This window comes from Homo sapiens, chromosome 9 (genome assembly GCF_000001405.40).
Source record: "Homo sapiens chromosome 9, GRCh38.p14 Primary Assembly".
Lineage (NCBI taxonomy): Eukaryota > Metazoa > Chordata > Mammalia > Primates > Hominidae > Homo > Homo sapiens.
Window position 1 is genome coordinate 37,127,191 of NC_000009.12, and position 21,781 is coordinate 37,148,971.

The 21,781-nt window shown below is 34.9% G+C and overlaps 1 protein-coding gene across 18 annotated transcripts in view; it reads left to right on the top strand.

Annotated features, from left to right (window-relative positions):
- The window catches only part of ZCCHC7 (zinc finger CCHC-type containing 7), a 237,983-nt gene that overhangs the window by 7,024 nt on the left and 209,178 nt on the right, over positions 1 to 21,781 (top strand). The gene's annotated exons all lie outside the window — the stretch shown is intronic.

A 21,781-nucleotide genomic window follows, 5' to 3' on the forward strand; every position in this document is an offset into this window, starting at 1 on the left:
CTTCCTGTTTGGCTAGAGCCAGTTCTGGACCTGAAATCTTACTTCCCCCCTCTCTCTCTGCTTGGTACCACAGGTGAGTACTCCATCCACCTCTGGCATTAGCCCTGTGCACTCATTCAGCCAACTCTGTTGGGACTGTCTCTTCCTATGGGATTTGCTTACCCAGGAGTTAGATGGCAAGCATAGGGAATGTCTGGCACACAGAATATATGGAATTAGTGTTAGGATTAGGATTTTAGGTACTCCACAGTCAGAAAGACAGGAAAATATGAAGAGCTGTAAGTCTAGGGCAGGTTATAGGGGAGAATGCAAATTTTGATAGCTACATCATCAAGGATTAAAATTTTGGTGTTAGTTATGTCTCTGTGACATGTAGTCATCTAGTCTTAATGCTTATGCCTTCAAGAAGTTCCTTTTCATTTCCCTCCCTTTATGCCTAATGCTCAGTCTCTTGCACTAGTTTCCTAAGTAGTCTTCTTTTATATCTACCCTGTACACTGTTGTTAAAACTGGTATTGAAATGCTCTTTTACTCATAGTACTTTATTGCTGCTCCAAAATTTTTAATGGCAGCCTGCTTCCCTAGAAATGATGACATTGAATGTAGATTGTGCTTGGAGCCCCTGGGATTGGCAAATGTTTTTTTAAGAAGCCAGATAGAAAATATTTTAGGATTCCAAGCCATGTGATATCTTAACTACTCAACTTGGCCCTTGTGGGAAAGCAGCCTTAAATAATACCTATAGAAATGGGGGTGGCTGTTCTCAGTAAAGCCCTACTTACAAAAACAGGTGGCCGGCTCAGGCTGTAGTTTGCAAACCCTGAGAACTTGACAGCAAAACGAAAAGAGAGAATAGTAGTTAGGACAGAACAGAATCGCGTAAAGTTTTTTCCATATAGGTGAGCTCTGATAATGTTTGTAGGTAGAAAGAAAGAAACTTGTGAAGGAGAGACTAAACCTGTTTGATGGATTGGGTTGGGGGCCAGGTTAGAGATAGGATCAGGTGTATGTGTTGTTGAATTATTCCTAAAAAGGAAGAGAGACACTAGTAATTGCTAAATCATCAAATATTTGTAGAGGTAGAGGAGAAAGAATAAATTCAGATGGATTGAGGCAGATGAGAGAACATATGGGGATGTGTTTGATTTTCTTAGGAAAATGAAAGCAGAAGTGGGAGAGGGCGGGGGATAATTGGAAGCTTAGAATGTGGAAGGGATGTTTAAGTGCTGTGGGGAATACTTTGAGGCAGTGGTTACCAGTATTTTGAAGATGACAACCTGTGTAACTTTGAAACAATTTGTGGACCACCCATGGTTGTAGTTATGATTTTAGTATTCAATTGAGAAAATGCATATTAGAAAGAAGCTACTACTCTTACATGACTTTGTGTTTTATTAATCACAACATTGATATGTGAGAAATAGTGTTTATAATGCGTTGCTCTAGGTACCCATTAAGGTAACTAATTCTGCAGTTTCCCAGGAGGCTGAAGGCTCTTAAGTTGGAAATCATTGCACTTGAGTGAATCAACAGTAAGAGAATAAAGGATTGTTTAGAAGTAGTATTCAGTCAAAATTAAAATGATGTGAACTTGTAGTGAACTCACTTTGAAGGATTCCATAACTTTATCCAGTAATACTTGTCAGCTTGGAGCAAGATGACAGAAACAAAATGATCTTGGGTTAGGCGTAACACTATAGAAGGCCAAAATAAGCATTTAGCTTATTCTTTCTCTAAATTACCTTTTCCTGAGATCACACCTAGTTTCATTAATCACTTCTGTATTTATGGTCATCAAATTGTCATCTCCTTAACCATTTTGTTGATTTCAAATTCTCTGTGTACATCTACAGAATATTTCCATTTGGGTATCTTACTGTCTCACATTTGACATACTGAAAAGAAAGCTTGATAACTTGAAAAAAAAGCTTATTATCTTTCCTTTGAAACAACTCCCTGCTGCTTTCTGTTTGCACTAGAGAATCTACAGACATGCTAAAGTTGATGGCACAATGTGGATAGGTTGGGAAAAACATGAATTAGGTGCTGGATTTAGTGAAGAAATCGAACTGTGCCATATTTGGCAAATGATGGTGATGAGAAAGTAGAGAGAACCTTGGATTTGTTTTCTGTTTTAGCCAAATAGAATTAAATTCTGAATTTTTGGAAATTAATTTACTTGACTCTTATAAACTCTTACAAATACTCAAATATATATTCTCCATTTTATTTCCTTGATCCACTAATGCTGTAATCCTATTTCCAATTAATAAACAACATATTTAGTACTGATGCCCATTTAAGTGTGTTGTTACTCTGTAATCACTATCCCTCTCATAAAACTATCTGGGGATAGATTGGTTCATATAATCTTTAGAGAGAAGATTTTTCTCATTTCTGTAAAAGTGTAGAGAAAATCTCAAGTACTTTAGAAATGCCTATTGTTAAACAGTATCCATAATTATTTTGTGTTCTGTTTCCTTGACCTCACTCAAGAAAAAAACAAAATATCTCCCAGAATTATGGCATACTGAAAACTGCAGTATGACATAAAAGAAAAGACTACAGGCTCCTTGAGGTTGGGTCTTTTCCATACTCATAAACCTGCTTATAATAATATTTAGAGTAATTTCTTGGCACATACATTACCTGCTTTCTCATCAATTGCTAAATCATCAAACATTTATTGAGCATCTCCTCTATGTAGGGTATAAGTAATGCTGAGGTAGTACTCGTGACTTACAGTGGTAAAAGACTTAAGTTTTAGGCCGAGAGCAGTGGCTCACGCCTGTAATCCCAACACTTTGAGAGGCCGAGGCGGGTGGATCACCTGAGGTCAGGAGTTCGAGACCAGCCTGGCCAACATGGCGAAACCCCATCTCTACTAAAAATAAATAAATTAGCTGGGAGTGGTGGCAGGCACCTGTAATCCCAGCTACTTGGGAGGCTAAGGCAGGAGAATTGCTTGACCCAGGAGGTGGAGGTTGCAGTGAGCTGAGATTGCACCATTGCACTCCAGCCTGGGTGATGGAGTGAGACTGTCTCAAAAAAAAAAAAAAAAAGATAAGTTTTAGCCTTGAATGACATAGTGTTTCACTAAAGAGACAGAATATAGGAAGCTAAGTAATTTACGGAATTCTCTCCTTTTTTTTTTTTTTTTTTTTTTTTTTTTTTATAGCAGTGGGGTCTTACCCTATAAATAGAGCAAGGCTAGTTTGGAACTCCTGGGCTTGTGTGGTCCTCCCGCCTTAGCCTTCAGAGTAGCTGGGAGTGCAGGTGTGAACACAGCTTTGAAATCTCAATTTTTTTTTTTTTTTTTTGAGACAGAGTCTCGCTCTGTCGCCCAGGCTGGAGTGCAATGGCATGATCTCGGCTCACTGCAAGCTGCGCCTCCCGGGTTCACGCCATTCTCCTGCCTCAGCCTCCCAAGTAGCTGGGACTACAGGCACCTGCCACCACGCCTGGCTAATTTTTTGTATTTTTTTTTAGTAGAGACGGGGTTTCGCAGTGTTAGCCAGGATGGTCGCGATCTCCTGACCTCGTGATCCGCCTGCCTCGGCCTCCCAAAGTGCTGGGATTACAGGCGTGAGCCACTGCGTCTGGCCAGAAATCTCTTAACCATGGGAGTTAAGTCTCAAAATTCTGGTGATACAAGTGGTTGAAACTTAAAACTTTGTTTAAAAAATAGGATTAGTGAATTTGAGATAATTCATAAGTCTGTGAAAGACAATAAATACATACATATTTTACATTTACTATTACTAAATTTGTAGTAAATTTGAGTACAGCACTACCTCTTTATCTGTGAAAACTTCAGACTCTCCCCTATTACTTTAATTTCAGTGAGACATTATTATATTAAAAAAATGGCCAGGCCTGGTGGCTCACGCCTGTAATCCCAGCACTTTGGGAGGCCGAGGCAGGTGGATCACGAGGTCGGGAGATCGAGACCAGCCTGGCTAACACGGTGAAACCCCGTCTCTACTAAAAATACAAAAAATTAGCCGGGTGTGGTGGCGGACGCCTGTAGTCCCAGCTACTCAGGAGGCTGAGGCAGGAGAATGGTGTGAACCTGGGAGGCAGAGTTTGCAGTGAGCCGAGATAGCGCCACTGCACTCCAGCCTGGGTGATAGAGCGAGACTCTGTCAAAAAAAAAAAGAAAAAAAAAATACAGGCCGGGCATGGTGGCTCACACCTGTAATCCCAGCACTTTGGGAGGCTGAGGTGGGTGGATCACTTGAGGTCAGGAGTTCGAGACCAGCCTGGCCAACATGGTGAAACCCCGTCTCTACTAAAAATGCAAAATTAGCCGGGCATTCTGGCAAGCATCTGTAATCCCAGCTACTTGGGAGGCTGAGGAAGGAGAATTGCTTCAACCTGGGAGGCGGAGGTTGCAGTGAGCCGAGATTGTGCAACTGCACTCAAGCCTAGGCGACAGAGTGAGACTCTTGTCTCAAAAAGAAAAAGAAAAAAAAGAAAATGGGCGTACACATTTGTTTTGCTCTACTGACAGTTAATACCACAACTCAGAGGCATTTTTTTTTCCTTTCTATTCTTCTTCTAAATGTTCAACACTTTTCTGATTTTGTGATTTGAGGTTGTTGATTAGCTTCCTGAGGCTCCATTGAGACTGTATATACGTGACACTTAACAGTCTAGCCTTCCTCGGTGCATATAGATATATGATGGTGGTTTTGCCTGTAGTAAATTCATGTCAAAACATAGGCTTTCAGTGCCTATTACATATGACTTTCAGCTCTCTCTACTGAGGGATGTAGGAGTTTATTTCTGAGGTCTGAGCCTCTTTTCCTTTACTTCCTTTATTCTTTCCTAAGCCTTCTTTATAAAAACTATGCATGTTCTATCGTTTGTTTTCCTTCTTGATTCCCGCCCCTTCCTTTTTTTTTAATTATCCCCAGCAGGAGTGACTTGTAATTCTCATATATTAGAAAGGCAGATCTCCTGGTGGAAGAAAAGATGCACCGAAGGAAGTCAGCATATTTAGTAATTTGTGAGGGGGATCTCAAGTTTGGAAAGGATTGTTATGTAAGACAACCAAATGATGACATGTGACAATAAAGCCATAATAGCTACTTATTTTCCTGGTTAGGGAAGGGATATTACTAGTTCTAGGAGTAACTGCTAGCTCTTTCTTGTACTTTTTTTATTGTGGAAATATAAAAATATACAAAAATAAAATGTTATAATTGACTTCAGTGTCCCATAAACCAGCTTCAACAGTTACCAATTTATGTCTAATCTTTCCTATCTATAACTCTGTGCCCCTCTGTTATTTTGAAGCTCATCAGACATCAAGTCATTCATATATGTATGTATGTGTATGTGTGTGTATACACATCATGTGTGCACATGTGTGTATGCATGTATACACATTTGTATACAAGTGTGCACTCATGTTTGTCCCTCAGTGTCTGTGGGGGATTGGTTCTAGGACTTCCCATGGATACCAAAATCTATGGATGCTCAAGTCCCTGATATAAAATTGTGGAATATTTGCATATAACCTATTTACATCCTCTCGTATACTTTTAAGTCCGGGGTGTCCAATCTTTTGGCTTCCATGGGCCACATTGGAAGAATTGTCTTGGGCCACACATAAAAAACACTAATACTGACAGTAGCCGATGAGCTAAAAAAAAATTACCAGCTGGACATGGTGGCTCACGCCTGTAATCCCGGCACTTTGGGAGGCCGAGGCGGGCGGATCACGAGGTCTGGAGTTCGAGACTAGCCTGACCAACATGGTGAAACCCCGTCTCTTCTAAAAATACAAAAATTAGCCCAGTGTGGTGGTGTGCACCTGTAATCCCAGCCTCAGAGGCTGAGGCAGGAGAATCGCTTGAACCTGGGAGACGGAGGTTGCAGTGAGCCGAGATCGTGCCACTGCATTCTAGCCTGGGCGACAGAGTGAGAGAGACTCTGTCTCAGAAAAAAATTAACAAAACAATCTCATATTGTTTTAAGAAAGTTTACGAATTTGTGTTGGGCCACATTCAAAAGCCTTCATGGCTGTGAGTTGGACAAGTCATCTCTGGATTACTTAACATACCCATACAATGTAAATACCATGTAAATAACTGTTATATTGTATTTAAGGAGTCATAATGAGAAGAAAAATATACACGTTAAGTAGACATGCAATTTTTTTTGGTCTGGAATATTTTCTTTTTTTTTTTTTTTTGAGACACAGTCTTGCTCTTGTCACCCAGGGTGGATTGCAGTGGTGCAGTCTTGGCTCACTGCAACCTCTGCCACCTGGGTTCAAGCAGTTCTTCCACCTCAGCTTCCTGAATAGCTGCGAATGCAGGTACCTGCCACCATGCTTGGCTAATTTTTGTATTTTTATTTTTTATTTTTTTAAAATTTAAAAATTTTAAAATTTTTATTTATTTTCTGAGACGGAGTCTCGCTGTGTCACCCAGCCTGGAGTGCGGTGGCGTTATCTTGGCTCACTGCAACCTCCGCCTCCCAGGTTCAAGTGATTCTTCCACCTCAGCCTTCCGAGTAGCTGGGATTACAGGCACGAGCCACCACGCCCAGCTAATTTTTGTATTTTTAGTAGAAACGGGGTTTCACCATGTTGGCCAGGCTGGTCTTGAACTCCTGACCTCAGGTGATCTGCCCACCTTGGCCTCCCAAAGTGCCAGAATTATAGGCGTGAGCCACCGTGCCTGGCCAGTTATTGTATTTTTAGTAGAGTTGGGGTTTCAGCATGTTGGCTAGACTGGTCTTGAACTCCTGGCCTCAAGTGATCCACCGGCCTTGGCCTCCCAAAGTGGTAGGATTACAGGTGTGAGCCACCGTGCCCGACTGAAACGTACTATATATATATATGTATATATTTAATCATATTACCATAGGTAAACAAATTCCCGGTAATTCTTTCATCATCACATACCCAGCTAGTGTTCAGATTTCCTACACTGGCTCCTAATTTTTTTTTCTTACAGATTATTTGAATTCGATCCAATCCAGGTATTGTAATTGGCTGTTAAACTTAAGTATCCTTTAATGTATAGGTTCCCCTTAATCTCTTCCTTTTTTTAATTTCTTGTAATTTGTTGTAATACCTAGATTCTTTGTCTTCTAGAATTTCCAATGGTCTGAATTTTATAGTATTGCTTAACATGTTCTACTGTCCTCTGTCTTTCCTGTGAATTGGTAGTTAGATCTAGAAGCTTGATTAAATTCAGATTTTCTCTCTGTTGTTACATCATCAGTTTGACACACAGGTTCATTTGTTTCACTTTGCTTTTGATATGTTATTTTTTGGAATTATCTTTTAAAAATTTGGTTTTCTTTTATAATCATGTAAAATGTGTATAAGGTTCCAGATTCAAATCAGCAAAACATGATAAAATCTATCCAGAGAAGGCAAACCTTCTGTCCAGTCGCCATCCTGTTCCTGCCCTTCCCCTTATGAGTAATCATTAAGAGAAAATTGTTGGTTTGTCCTTACATGTGTATATCTTTGTACACTCTTGCCCTTGTTTTTTGTTGGTTGTTTTTTGTTGTTGTTGTTTTATTTTTTGAGACGGAATTTCGCTCTTGTTGCCCAGGCTGGAGTGCAACAGTGCAGTCTCAGCTCACCGCAACTTCCGCCTCCCGGGTTCAAGTGATTCTTCTGCCTCAGCCTCCCGAGTAGCTAGGATTACAGGCATGTGCCACCATGCCCAGCTAATTTTTGTATTTTTAGTAGAGATGGGGGTTTCTCCATGCTGGTCAGGCTGGCCTCAAACTCCCGACCTCAGGTGATCCACCCACCTCGGCCTCCCAAAGTGCTAGGATTACAGGCATGAGCCACCACACCCGGCCCTCTTTCTTAATAAATAGTGGCATACTATCTACTCTTTTCTCTAACCTTATTTTTTTCTCTTAGCCGTATATCCTGGCGATCAATCCATAGTCCTATGTAAAGATATTTAATATTTCTTATTTCTAGGACTATGAACTATTTTTGTATCTTCTACACTAATCTGAGCTGGGCACATTAGGCATGTAATAAATACTTTTTGAAAGTGAATGAATAGTAATTTAAAATAGTTGATGACTAATGCACTTGTTACAGTCTTAAAATATATTTTAAACAAATAAATAATTGTCTAATTCCACTTTCAGAAGAAATAAGAAGTTCTTATTCCTGTTTGTAATTTTTTTTATCATTTGGTAATTTTGAAATATTTAGGTTTAGCAAAAAATTAATAGGCTCAGGTTTTAAAAAGAAAAATGCCTTCTGCAAAAGGAACAATATGGTATTTTTAAGAGTTGAAGAAACCATATTAGTTCCTGGTTTATGACTGTTATGGTATAGAATTTTGTGTCAATGTAGAGCTCCTTCAGTATGTGTAATTTGGCACACAACCCCTTTAGTTCGTCAGCATTTGGCACATCGGGGATACCTAACAAATTGTAGGTAAATTTGTTTATTTATTTATTTTTTCCCTTAGGTAAATTTATTTGCAGTTCTGCCTTTGTGTATAGAGTAGAGCTCTTTACATAGTATTATTTAAAGTGAAATAATTGCTTGACTAAGGTAAATGGCTTTTGAAACTGAAGTAAAATTATGGCTTCAACACTTATGGCAGAAAGTGTTTTAACTATTTTGTGTTAAATCCCTTTTTCTCCCAAAACTATACACACAGAAGTTTTGGATATAATTTCAAAGGATGAAGAACTCATCTAGAGGCCATTGTTGAATTCCTGGCATTCATTAGGCACTCAACCAAGACTGGATATCTAATTAAAATTTGAATAGAGTGGGTTACCTATTTGAATTTTAGGTTTTCTAGTAAATCATTTTGTTTGATCTAGGTCTTTACATATGTGTTTTTTTGTTTGTTTTTCTTTTCCTGTGTGGATTAGTTTCTACCTTGCCTGGCTGATATATCTACTTATCTCTCAGTTCTTAGTTTGAAAGGTCACTTCTGAATGAGGTGTAATGGTCATAGGTTCTCAATTAGTGGTTGTTATTGGGTCTGTTACAGCTGTGCAGTTGGCCAACTTTGACTTTGGGTAACTTAATTTCTTTATTGGTAAAAAATACTTTTTATTTTATTAAAGTCATAAAGAAAAATGAGATATTGGGTAGGCTTAATGTCACAGGAAAATATTTTGATAAAAGTCTTCATAGTTACACGATAGGTTCATGATCATTGTGGCAAACATGAGCTTATAGCTTCCACTTTTTTGTTGTTGTTTGTTGTTGTTGTTGTTTTTCAGACAGGGTGTCTCTCTCCCACCCCACCCCTGCCCCACCTGCAATCTCTCTCTCTCTGTCTTGCTCTCACCCAGGCAGGAGTACAGTATTGCAGTCATGGCTCACTGTAGCCTTGACCTCCCGGGCTGAAGTGATCCTCCTACCTCAACCTCCCAGGTAGCTGAGACTGCAGATGTGGGCCACCATGCCCTGCTAATTTTTTGTATGGAGTTAGATGGAGTTTCACCATTTTGCCCATGTTCACCATGTTGCTCATGTTGCTGGTCTTGAACTCTTGGCTCAAGCGAGCTGCCCACCTCAGCCTCCCAAAGTGCTGGGATTTACAGGTGTGAGTCACCGCCCTGGCCCCACTTGATTTTTTTGTTTTGTGTTGTTTTGTTTTGTAGAGACAGTGTCTCACCATGTTGCCTACCCTTGTCTTGAACTCCTGAGCTCAAGCTCCCACCTTGGCCTCCCAAAGTGTTGTGCTTACAGGCATGAGCCACCGAGCCTGGCCCCAAGTTGCTTTTGAACAACATGTCTCTAGTATGGTGCTATCCTTAAAGAAATTTAATTTGGTGACATTTTATGATCTGCTAGTTTATGACATTGAACTTAATTCTGAAATCTTAAAATCTTTCCAAATATTATTTACTGGGTGCTGACAACGTACAAGCCACTGTACCATTAAGGTATTGGGATTCAAAAATTGCCATGTACTTTTTGCCTTTAGAAATCCTAAAATGCATGACAGTATGGAAAGTTCACTGTAAAACCAGAGTTAAATGCATTTCTACAAATATATGAGATGCTCCAGCAGAATACGTAATCATTCCAGGTGAATGCAGTAGATTTTTTAAAAAGATTAAAAAGTAGATAGGCAAAGTACAAGACTGAATTGAAAAGGAACCCTTTGAATTTGAGTTTCGAAAAATGGGTAGGACTTGAAGTTCAGGTTAAATGCAGCTAAAAATAGAAGGTGAAGCCCTTAGTAGAAACTGAAGACTGTATGTGCCATTCATGTTTATATGTGGCTGGATGTGATGAAATGTTTTAATAGTATATCTTTTTAGAAGCCACCTCTGCCTAAACAAGAAAGGATTATTTATGTTTTGTATATGTTCAGAATACTGTTGGAAGATTTCTTAGTCATAATTTTATTTCATTGCTTTCTCCCTGTTTTTTGCGTACATACCTCCTTTTTTCTTTTAAAATTAATTGGACCAGAGGTTAGTCAAAGGACCTGACCAGCTGTTTAACGTGTATTTTGTGCAGGGCTGTTCAAAGTAGAGCAGGTCTTAAGGTACAACTTTCACTCCTCATAGTTATGTTCTTCCTTATAATCTTTTAACATAGGAAAGGATCATTATTTTGTTAGTTTGGAAACAATACATTAAACTTTGCCTTCAGTAACTTCTCAGATCATTAAGGTGGTGTTTTTTCCCCTCCTTTGGCATTCATCGTCTTAATGTCAGTAGTTTCTTGAGACATTTTATACCCTAACAGGTCATAAGAGTGTATTGCCATGTGACATACTTCTCATTAATGTATAGTTTAATTTCTGCCTTATAACTGAAAAATGGCCACATGCTAGAATTCCAGTCACCAGGAGCATCAAGGAGCTCCCTCTCTGATGTTTTCAGCTTTTGTAAGCCTGTACTGCACAGTTCCTAAAGCTGCTTTTGAACTGTGTCTTTAGTTGTAGCATGTCACCTTACACTTAACTATTGTTAGGGCATCTTTTTATTTAATTTCTAATTAGCATAATGACTTGAGCTGTGTTATTCACTGTTCCATGGTGAAGTTGTCATAGGGAGAGAAGAAATAAAAATGTTCAGTTTCAGCTTTACTTGTGAATGGAGCGAGGTTTGAAGAAAGCTTTTTATGGCCATTGTTCAGCAGAATGAAAATCTCATTAGAAACCCCAGAAATCCCATGCAGCTTTGGGTTGGATTTTAATAACATTTTGGAATGTTGATATTGTATATCACTAATTTCTGTGATTTCACTGTAGATCAGCAACATAGGGAGGCAGTCTTCCAAAGTTAATTTATGACTTTTAATCTAAATTCATTTACAGTTTTCTTTTCAACAATGTTAAGTACCCAGGGAGAGAATTAAATTTTACTTTAAAAAAATACATTTCTTCTAGTAACTGATTTGATCTTCATGTAAGATATACTAAATTCATTGGAAACTGCTTAAACAGAAATACCATGATATGTATTTATTGAACTAATGACTTAGTTTAGTTGCCATTAAAATGTCACTCACCTTATCTACAGGTTTGTATTTTTTTTTTTTTTTTTTAGAATGGAAAAGCATAAAATTAGATGGGCAACATTTTCTTCCTTGTCAGAAGAGCTTGAATCCTGATGTCTTTTTAAGTGAAGAGTGTTTATATATAATTTTCTTGTAGCTTTTGTTTATTATAAAAATAATTATTGCATATAGTGATCACTTATCTAAGAAGATAAGTATGATTTATATAGACAGTATATTTTTATGGTCAGAAAGTAAATTTGATGTGAGCTACATATGATTAGACAGTAAAACTTTTTTCCAAAGAAATATAGAATGGAGAACATTTAATCATTATTTCCCCTTCTTAGAGTAGAGGCTGTTCAGATAATTCATATTCTGTAAGTAGGAGATCCTGTTTTTAAGACTTTACTAAATTTAATTTCAAAGTAATAATCTCTTATAAATGCTTCCTTGGTGGTTAAGACTTATTAATGAAGCAAAAGTATGGACTTCATGGAAGTTTTCAGCCTAACGTTTTAAATCTCTTCATTATTATTTATCTTTGTTTTGTTATAAATTAAAGATACTGGCATGGTTAACTTTTGGCATTTTGAGTTACTTGCCAGATATTTGTTGATTGTGCAAATAGTTAAGAAATAAATATTTTAATTGGGCATCCACCATGTATTATGTCACATTTTCTTTTTAAATCATATGCTTAAGAATACTTAAAGGAGTATGACTTGCTTTTTAGTTTGAATCTTGATCTAACAGCATTGGTTCTGGATGGAGATGTAATTCTAGAGATAAAAATTATTTCTGTTGTGTAGATTTGGATTCTAAATGTAATAATTATTTTAAAGTGGATCTTGTCTGCTAAATGTATAGCTTTTATTTCTATAACAAATTCTTACCTTAGAATTCCAACTTTTGTCAGTTTTGAAAATTAGTTTATTGTGGACTTGAGAGCATCTGTTCTTAATCTCGTGTTTTGCAAACACGTTTTAAGGGAAGACAGCATAAATCTGTGATAGTGAAAATCATTTGTACTTCCCCTCCCTCGCTTTTGCTTAAATATACAATTAACTTATAACCACCTCAGTGTGAAAGAATGGATGTTAAGTAGCTTAAGAGGTATTTATTAAGGGAAAATATTTTTATTGGCAGTTCCCTTAAGTCATATTTGTTTTGTAACTAAATAGTGCTTGCAACAGAATTATCTATCATAGGGAGGGAAAGCTCCAACTCTTGAAAACTTTTCAATACTTTTTCTATATTGGTAGTTAATGAGAATTCTTAAGATAGGAAATAGACTGGTTATGACTGGTAATATGATATTGCTAATGTAATACAAATTATGCTTTAAAAAAGCCAGGTGAGGAATTCAGGATTTGGAAGAATATGACATACATATACATTTAACTAAAGAAAGGAGATTTTCTTTAAAGAGAAGATGTGCAACCACAATCAATCCTGTAAGTTAGTCCTTAATCCTGTACTAGCCAGTTTTTAGTATTAAATGGTCTGATTTAACACAAATGAACTTTTGTCAATGGTTTTATTTAGAAATAGCATTACTTCCTACTTTTAAGGAGGATTTTAATAGCTAATAAAAATTCGTTGTTCTGATAAGAACTTGAAAGACATCCTTACTCCCATATAATTGAGTATTTTGCTCTTCATTCAACACCTCAGCCCTTTTGGTTTGCTTAAAAAATGATACAAATTTTGTGGGAGAATAAATATAACTTAAATATTGCTGTAAATGTGTTGTATAATCATATTTTAGCCTGGTATTATTGGTTCTTCTGTGTATGAAATACTTTTAAACATTCAAAATATTCAATTTAAAAGTTTCTGGATAGGTGAGTGGTAGAGATCCATCAGGTACTTACTTGGTTGTGGAATATTTGTGTTCTTGATGCCATGACATTTTAAAGTTGTATTAATCCCTTTATTTTTCTGTTTGAGATGATTCAGTTTGGGAGGTTTTATTATCAGATCTAACAGAAGAAACGTAAGTGTTGTACCACAGGTCATCTAATTTTCAAACCATGTTGGTTAGTTAAACTGACTTTGGTGTATAATTATGTACCCGGTAGTCAGAGGAGTTCAAGTCGATTGCAATTCAACTCTGTGATTGTGCCACCAGTTAGGTTAACATCAGCAGTGAAGGGCCTTCATTGTGTTAAATTTTTAAATTCCGTTAAGATTATTTAAACATAGAAGGAGATAGGTTTGTGAAGCAAATTTCTAAAGCAGTATTAAGCAAAGAGAATCTTTTCTTCCTCTTCTTTTAGATATATCACATACATGTGTATTTTGATTAAAAGGAAAAAAATTTAATGCTTATAGTATAATGCGCATACTTATTTCTTATTTTTAGAATTTATTAAAACTAATAAAATTTGTTTGGAAATCTCAAAAGATCTTTAGTAGTATACCTGCAACCTCAGCAGTCCCTTTTTATCCATACAGATTCTCTGCCTATTGTGGCCGTTTGCTCTAATTTAAATTTCCCATGGCTTTCGGTTGCAGACTTGGTTTTCTGCAAGAGTGCCCATGCTTACATGGTCATATATTCTTGGTGACTTTTCCACTTTTTCTTTTTTGTTATTTTGTTGATTGCTAAAGAAAAAGGGGAATTTTTTTTTTTAAATTTGTTTCTTTGTTTTGATCTTTCTTCCTTAGCCCATCTATTTGTGTGTTCTTTGTTTTGCAGATTGGAAAGAATTATTGTGTGGTACTTAGATCCATGGGGACTAGCAGGGGAAAACTAATTTTGTTCTTGGTTTTGTTTTCTTAATAACAGAAGCAATTTAATTTTTGAGCCATTGAGAAGCTGAAAAGATATGTTAGTGTTATGCATGAAATTGATGGGAAATTATTAATCCTGAAAATTTGTATTCATGGTCACTTTACTGTTGGAATAAAAATGTTATTTTATAGTGTAACCAAGTTAATACTAGAAATACTAATTAACAGTAAGTGGTACTGTTATAAATCTTTAATTTAAATATTATTGTATATTAAGTAGTTGTTTACAAGAAATCTGTTGTAATCTGATAATGTGATTTCTCTTACATTCAATTTTGTGGTCCACAGTGTGTATATATTCAAATAAGCATATGAACATGCCTTTGACGGTGGACACATTTTTACTTTGACCAGATCTTAAGAGTTTGCTTTTTCTTGGCAAAACTTGCATACTTTCAAATGTGAGGAATTTTGTTTTATAACATAACTTTGTACTGCTGAATTTAAGTCCTTGAAGTGCTATGGCAATTTAGTTATTGTTAGAAGTCAAAAGTAGAGGTCTCTGTTCCCAACATCTCCCCAAAATATTTTTTCATTAATATTCACAGGCTTTAAAATATCAAATTATTGTGATCAAAGCTACTTCTGTTTTACAGTTGTTTTGTGAGGCTGGTGTCATACAGTAACATTTAACTGAATTTTGTATTTGCTAAATTAACATAAAATAATAAAGAGATCCTTTTTACCATTTAAAAAATTCTAATAATTTCCTAATCAGGAAAAATGATGTTATGATATACTGTAAATAGGCTAAAAAAAACCTTGTAATGTTGATACATAGGGAAAAGAGTAATTTTGATAATTAATAATTTTAGATTTTTTTCCTTTGATTGTACCTCATGGTTGTGAGGTGTCTAAAATGCTCTTTCTGCATATCTGTTAAGGACTTTGGGAATTGGGGTAAGGGCAAGCCTTCTTTCTGTGTCTGTTAATTACAGGTTTTTTCTTGTGGATGTAGTGCTCTTAGAATATGAAACTGATTTATAGAATTTGTAATTACCAAGAAATAAATAGCATCATTGAATTTTGTTTTCTTTATTTTTGCTATTATTTTCTAGTTACTGTGCTTCACATTTTGATTTCTATCAAATGACTTCTCAAAAAGCAATTTCTTTTAAATCAGTGAGTTTCAAACTAAGAAGAAAATGTATCCTGATAGTCTAATTAGCTGTTGTTTGTCCATGCCAATTAAAATAATCTTTTGAATTTCTAGTCTTTGATTATAGTTATATAGGCTTCATGAGTTTGTAAAACTATTCCTCCTTTTAAAGTATTTTAAAAGGTGTATTGTAATTTTATAATTGATATTCATATGTAATTATTGAGAAACTTGAATAACCTAAAATATATTTCTAGTATTCAGCACATCAAATCAAGGTATAACCTGTGATATAAAAGTGGTCCAACAGAAGTATACAGCTTTAAAAATAACAAGGAATTAATTCTGTTAGCATGTTTTACTAGCAAATGTTCGTGGAAAATGTTATTAATTCTTAAAGCTCAGTGCCTGGGTTTTATTGTGTGTGGCCTTACTAGGAGAACACTGTAGAGCCGAACTTGAAATTTATTAAGGAAAGAAGAAACTGGTGAAGTGCTTTTATGCTGTTAAAAAAACTTCACAGACAATTGTCAGACAATTTTTTTTTTAAAGGTCATGATTGCTTGATGCCTTTTCCAGTCTTTATTTGAAACTCTCGTTTTGTAGGATTTCTTTTTTGTTCTTCCTCTTCCTTTTTTCTTTTGGCAGTGGGTGGAAGATTCTTTTAAAACTGAATGGCTAAACCTGTATGGTAACTATTGAAGTATGATCGAAATACTTTTATTCATGATTTTTTTAGGCCAAAAAATGCTATGAAGGTAAGCCAATGATGGTAAAATTACATTGTGTTGCGTGGAAACTGTTTTAGCTTTAGCGTTTTCTGTTCAGAAAAGTAGGCTCTGCATTAGAGTTTTAAATTGGGATTTGTTTGTGAAATATTTTGTAATTCTCATATTGCTGATTGCCTTTATGTCTCGGTGTTCTAGTAGATAGTTCGTAGTTCCTGAAAAATAATATTCTGTGTATGAAAGAAAATAGGAGGTGAGAACAGAATGAGAATTGGGAAAGAAAACCCCCTACCCAAAATGCCGCCACCTAACAGGTGGAAATATCTATGCCATTACAGATTTTCAAAACGTAGAGTGCTTGAACTCTTTTTTTCTAAGAGATTACTTCAAATTTGACAGATTTCACAAAATTTTGTTATGATAAATATTAAAATTTTAACTCTTATTTTTATCCTAAATTTAAGCCCTTACAAATTAAGAAAAGAGTGCCTCGAGGCTGATTGCTAATGTTCAATTAAGTTATGTGTTCAGTGAAGTAATTTTTTGATTATGATATTTTGATTTTATTAATATGTAAACTAAAAATTATAAAAGGATTATGAGTACAGAAATTAAATTATGTGAAATTAATTTTGATATTTTGCGGCAGACAGTTTAGAATTAAAATATCCTTGGTGTGTAATAATTTTATTTCTTGTAAGGACATCTGTTGGCTTTCAGTATTCAGAAAATTTAGACTTTTTAATTTTAAATGTTGACGTAAATTAACGGGAGCCATACTTTAAATTGAAAGAACTTAAGGGAAATACATAAAATATGCTAGTGATTGGCTTACTTACATTTTCAGTGATTAGACTTTGTGAAATAAGAGTAAGGCCTAGCATTTTATTTTATTTAAGAAAATATACTTAATTTAAAAGTACTAATACAAGAATGAGAGAAATCTGGTCAAGTATAGTAAATCCATATCCATAATTATTTTCAATCACTAGTTACAGAGGAAGGTGTGAATGCTAATATCTTCTTTGTTGAAAATCATAAGTTGTATTTTGAAAAGGGATGAAAGGGAACAAGTAACTGCTTTCAGGCAGATTTATATCATCCTAACATCATATGTTATTTGTGGGTTCATGTCACAAAAGCTTGCAAAACTTCACAAAATAATTTAATGTATTTTAATTTAGTAAGCTTGCTGAAAACTCTTTTGTGATAAATCTAGAAAAATTTATACATGATATTTTTCTTTTTTAAAGTTTAGTGATCCATCTTGGTACTTTGTCTCAATTTCAGTCTTGTTGATTTAGATAATATTCTTATTGTTTTATAAATTTCCTTTCAGGAATGTGTTACTGCCTTGATACGTTCTCACCTTTCCAGTTATATATGATCCATCTATGACATTCTATCATCCAGGTGTTACTATTTTATTGTTCTTTCTTGTACTTTTGTTGTAAGGTACAGACTTCAAGTCTAAAGTAAGAGCTAGTGTATATTACAGTGTATATGACCATTTCTAATTTGACCTGTTACTGTAAAGAAGGCTAACAAGTGTGTATGCCTAGCCCACCCCTTCTGGAGCAGTTGAAAACAGGCCTCAGAAGACTCAAAGGAATTCTTTTAACTCCTAGCAGGGCCACGGGGTCAATGTCAGATTTAGTCATGCTGTTATTTTAGCCCAGTGGTCCAGAGAGATGACTGAAAAGTGAGTCTTTCATTTCTTTTTTTGTGTGGTTATTAACAGGATTAAATGTAAGCCATTGTGTACTTAGTACCAATTAGTTTCTCATCTGAGAGGTTCATTATGATTTTTTGTCAGCCTTCGTCTTGTAATATTTGTTTCTTTGTTTGATTAGTTAAGGGGCTGAATGGGCTAAAGGGAAGTTTTAACAGCAGTACTTTTAAATTCATTAAGAATTTTAATAGTCAACTTTTCAAATATGTAGACCTTGATTAAAAAAGGGACCATGTTGAAAATTGGCAAAATTAAGTAAATTGTTTAAAATTTTCCTTTTCCTGTTGTATTTTTTTAATCTGAAAAACAGACTGTCTTTATTATATCAAATAATACTTTTATGTTTCTAGAAGTCTACTTCAGATTCTTGTACATACTTCTTAAGATTGTATTTAGTTTGCTGTGAATATGTAATTATCGTTCAGAAGGGGCACATACCAAAAAGCTCCAAAATTAAAAAACCTTTTCAGTTTCTAGGATAGAAACATAGATTGAGCTATTAAAAGCAGAACATTAGAGTTCTGGGATAAAGATAGTTGTCAGGTGTAAACAAGCCTTAATTGAAAAGGAGGCAGCCTAAAAGTTGATTCTTTATGCTATTATAAATAAGTAAAAATGCAAACTTGCTTGAGTTCAGAAAATAGGAGCATACCCAACTTTTAAAACTACTTATTAGATTGGTAGTTGCTTTAGATCCTTAACTTAAAAAAATTCTTATTAAAATCAGTGTTCAATTGAGTAATATTCCTCGTTTAATAGATTGAGATGCCTCAGTTAAATTTTGAACAAAAATTGTTCCTATAAATTGAATTGGAGATGCTGATCTGTTAAAAGCAAGGAATATAACCCAAAATTAAAATAGGAATTATTTTGCTAGTGGATAATTATCTTGGACAGTAGGTCTTATATCTTGTTGAAGTGTGTAGAACACACATTTTCACATTCATTCATCTTTAAGTGAATATACCTGTAGGCTGATTCAGACTTGGTATTTTATTTATTTTAAACATTAGAAATGATAAATACTAATTTAAGCAAGTGCGATTACTATTTTAACTCATTCTTCGAGAGTTGCTTCATTTATCTCAGAGTTTTTGGTGTACCTTATTTACCTTATTTAGATTATATCATTGTATTAAGTCCTTTGCTTACTGCTGTAGTTTTTTGGTACCTAGAATAATTTATTATGGAATTGAATATTAAAAATTTGACGATCCCAATAGTTATGAAGCTTACAGATTCTGTATGTAGGCTTTTTTCCTCCTTTGGTTTCAGGCATAATGAATGGATGGCCCTTGCTTTCTGATATTTGTGTATCCAATTTTCTGAGGAAACACTTTTCTACAAAGTCTGCATGTTTGATTGTTCTACATTTTTCTTTCATTATAATTTGAAAAGGACTTAGATCCTCCAAATGAAAAATGGCTGTCTTGGCCATATGGTAAATTAGGCCTGCTTTATTATTGTCTAATAATTAAGCCTCCCTTTACTTATCCCACCCTCGTTTTAAAAACTAAAAACGTGTGGTAGCTGTATTAGTTAGAACATTTTCAAGTAACAGGAAGTAATTCAGTGGTAACTTCCTCATGTGGTTTACTGTTTATCAAAAAGGAAAGTAGTTTCTTTTGAGAGAATAATGCAGTTTTTGCTGCTCAACATTTTCTCAAGCTCTTTGGAAAATAAGAGAGAAGTCTTTAATGTGCTTGTAATATGATAAGGACAGATTTAAAAATTTTGTTTCTCTTCTCATTACTTGGTGTTTGACTTCAGTGGAAGCTGAAAGAAGTAAATAGATGTTAAGTTGAAAATCTGCCTCAGTGTCAGATGCTCATATAATTTAAATAATTTAAAATTTGTGGGTACTTATATTGATTGACCTTATATTTTAAAAACATAGGGAATAACATCAACTATTTGTATCTTCTCTCTTAACTTAAAGTTGAATTAATTAACTTTAGCTATCTAATAGAGTAGGTCCAGAAATTAACATTCAAATAACAGTAGTAAGTATAGGTGAAGACCAGGCTATCCCAAAGATAATTCATTAGGACTTCTGTTTCTATAGTATCTTTCATATGATAGTAACTGTTGTAAACAATTGAATTATATATATCAATTTAATAAATAATTGCAATATTAAAAAGTTAGCCCCGATAATTTCTACCCAAACACCTCCAAATTATGCTACTTCAAAAACAGTTGAAGGGAAGTTTAGGAATATAATATAGTTTCATTTTAAGACCACTAGGATAATAGACATTGTAATGTAATGGAAAAACATTTTGTCCCATAAAAACCACTTTCATTTAATGCTTTGTTTTTCTGTCTAACCAGGTAATACCTAGCAAATACAGAAAGAGAGATAAAGCAAGCAAGCTGTTTTGAAAGTGTCTAATATTGGCTGATGTAGAGCTATAGGTGGGTGTATCTTATTATTCCATAAAATTAAAAATAAGAGTGGGGGGAAAAAACAAATCCCAAGAAAATAAATGGAAGGTGAGTGAAGAGTGAATAGAATAAAAATAGAGATCTAGTATTTCAGTCAGTCTGCTAGTTAAATTTTATATTCAGAGCTTTAACATTTTGGGCTTTTAAATTTCCTGCAGTGCACATGACTTTCTTTCATAAAAGATATGTCAATCATATTAGGAATAAAAGTAATAGCTCATATAGTGCTTTATTATTAGCATCTAAGAAACCACTGGTATTTGAGTAAATTGTAAGTTAGAATTGATTTTTTAATAGCTTTTTAATGCAGATCAAACATTTGTGGCTTTTGAATGAAAAATACTTATCAACTAATTTTTATTAGCATTGCATTTTTAAAAAAATCTACATTATAACATATTGGAGGTTGATTGAAAGGGAGTTTTTGCCTCCATTTTATAAAGATGCTCTGTAAGAGCACTGGTGATAATGATGTCTATTCCTGTATTTTTTGCTGACTTTTACCTGGTATCCTGTCAGTAATTGTTTTTTCATGTTGAGGAAGAAAAAAGAATCTATACTTGCATCTGTCAGTATTATTGTTGTTTTAACTTTATAGGTATATTGTAGACATTGAATTGAAAGATTTGTAAGCTTTTGGTTTTCTGTGATACTGATTGGGAACAAAGGCATAGATAATCAGAGACAGCAAATAATAGCCAAAAATATATATTTGATATGTATTCATTTAGCCAACAATAACTAGGGCCTTTTGTGAATCACTGTGCAAGATGTGCTGGTACTTACAAAGATGAATCAGGTATAGACCCTGACCCCACGGATCCTATGGCTTAATAGAAGAGGTAAGAGGTGAGTGGCATAATAGAGTCATGGGGTGCAGGAGAGGAAAGATACTGCTTTCATGAGGGGTAGAGGTGTGTGTCAGGGGAGATAAGGATATATCATGTTTAGAGGAACAACAGACTTTTAAAATTCTATTTTGAATTAGGTCGGTTTTTCTTAGACTGAGTTCCTCATTCTCCTAGGGTCCATTTGTAGGGAAAGGTTTTTTAGTTCTTAAATTATTTCTTAAATTTGTATTTTTATTTTGATGTTAAAAAGTGATCGTACCTGTTATAAAGGTAACACTTTGCAGTGATAACTCATAGATGAAAGACATTTGTTATAGGATGAGACTTCAGTTTCTTAAGTCAGTGTTTCTCATTGGGATTTTTGGACAGATATGATGTTCAAGAGAACTTTTTTTTTAAGGGGTTTATATATTTTCTAAGTTTGAGAAACAAAGGCTTAGGCTCATTTCATGTTACTTTGCACTGTCTAAACTACATTCTAATTGGTGGCAGAAAGTAGGTGGCCTAGAAATGTAAGTAGCAAATTTTTTTCAGGAGGTAAGGCAATTCAGCAAGGTAGTGGAGAGTTCACTGTCAGTTACCACTATTTAGGAGTTAAGTTGGTGGCAGTGCTGCTGAATGGGCACAGTTTGTTTGATTTTAAAT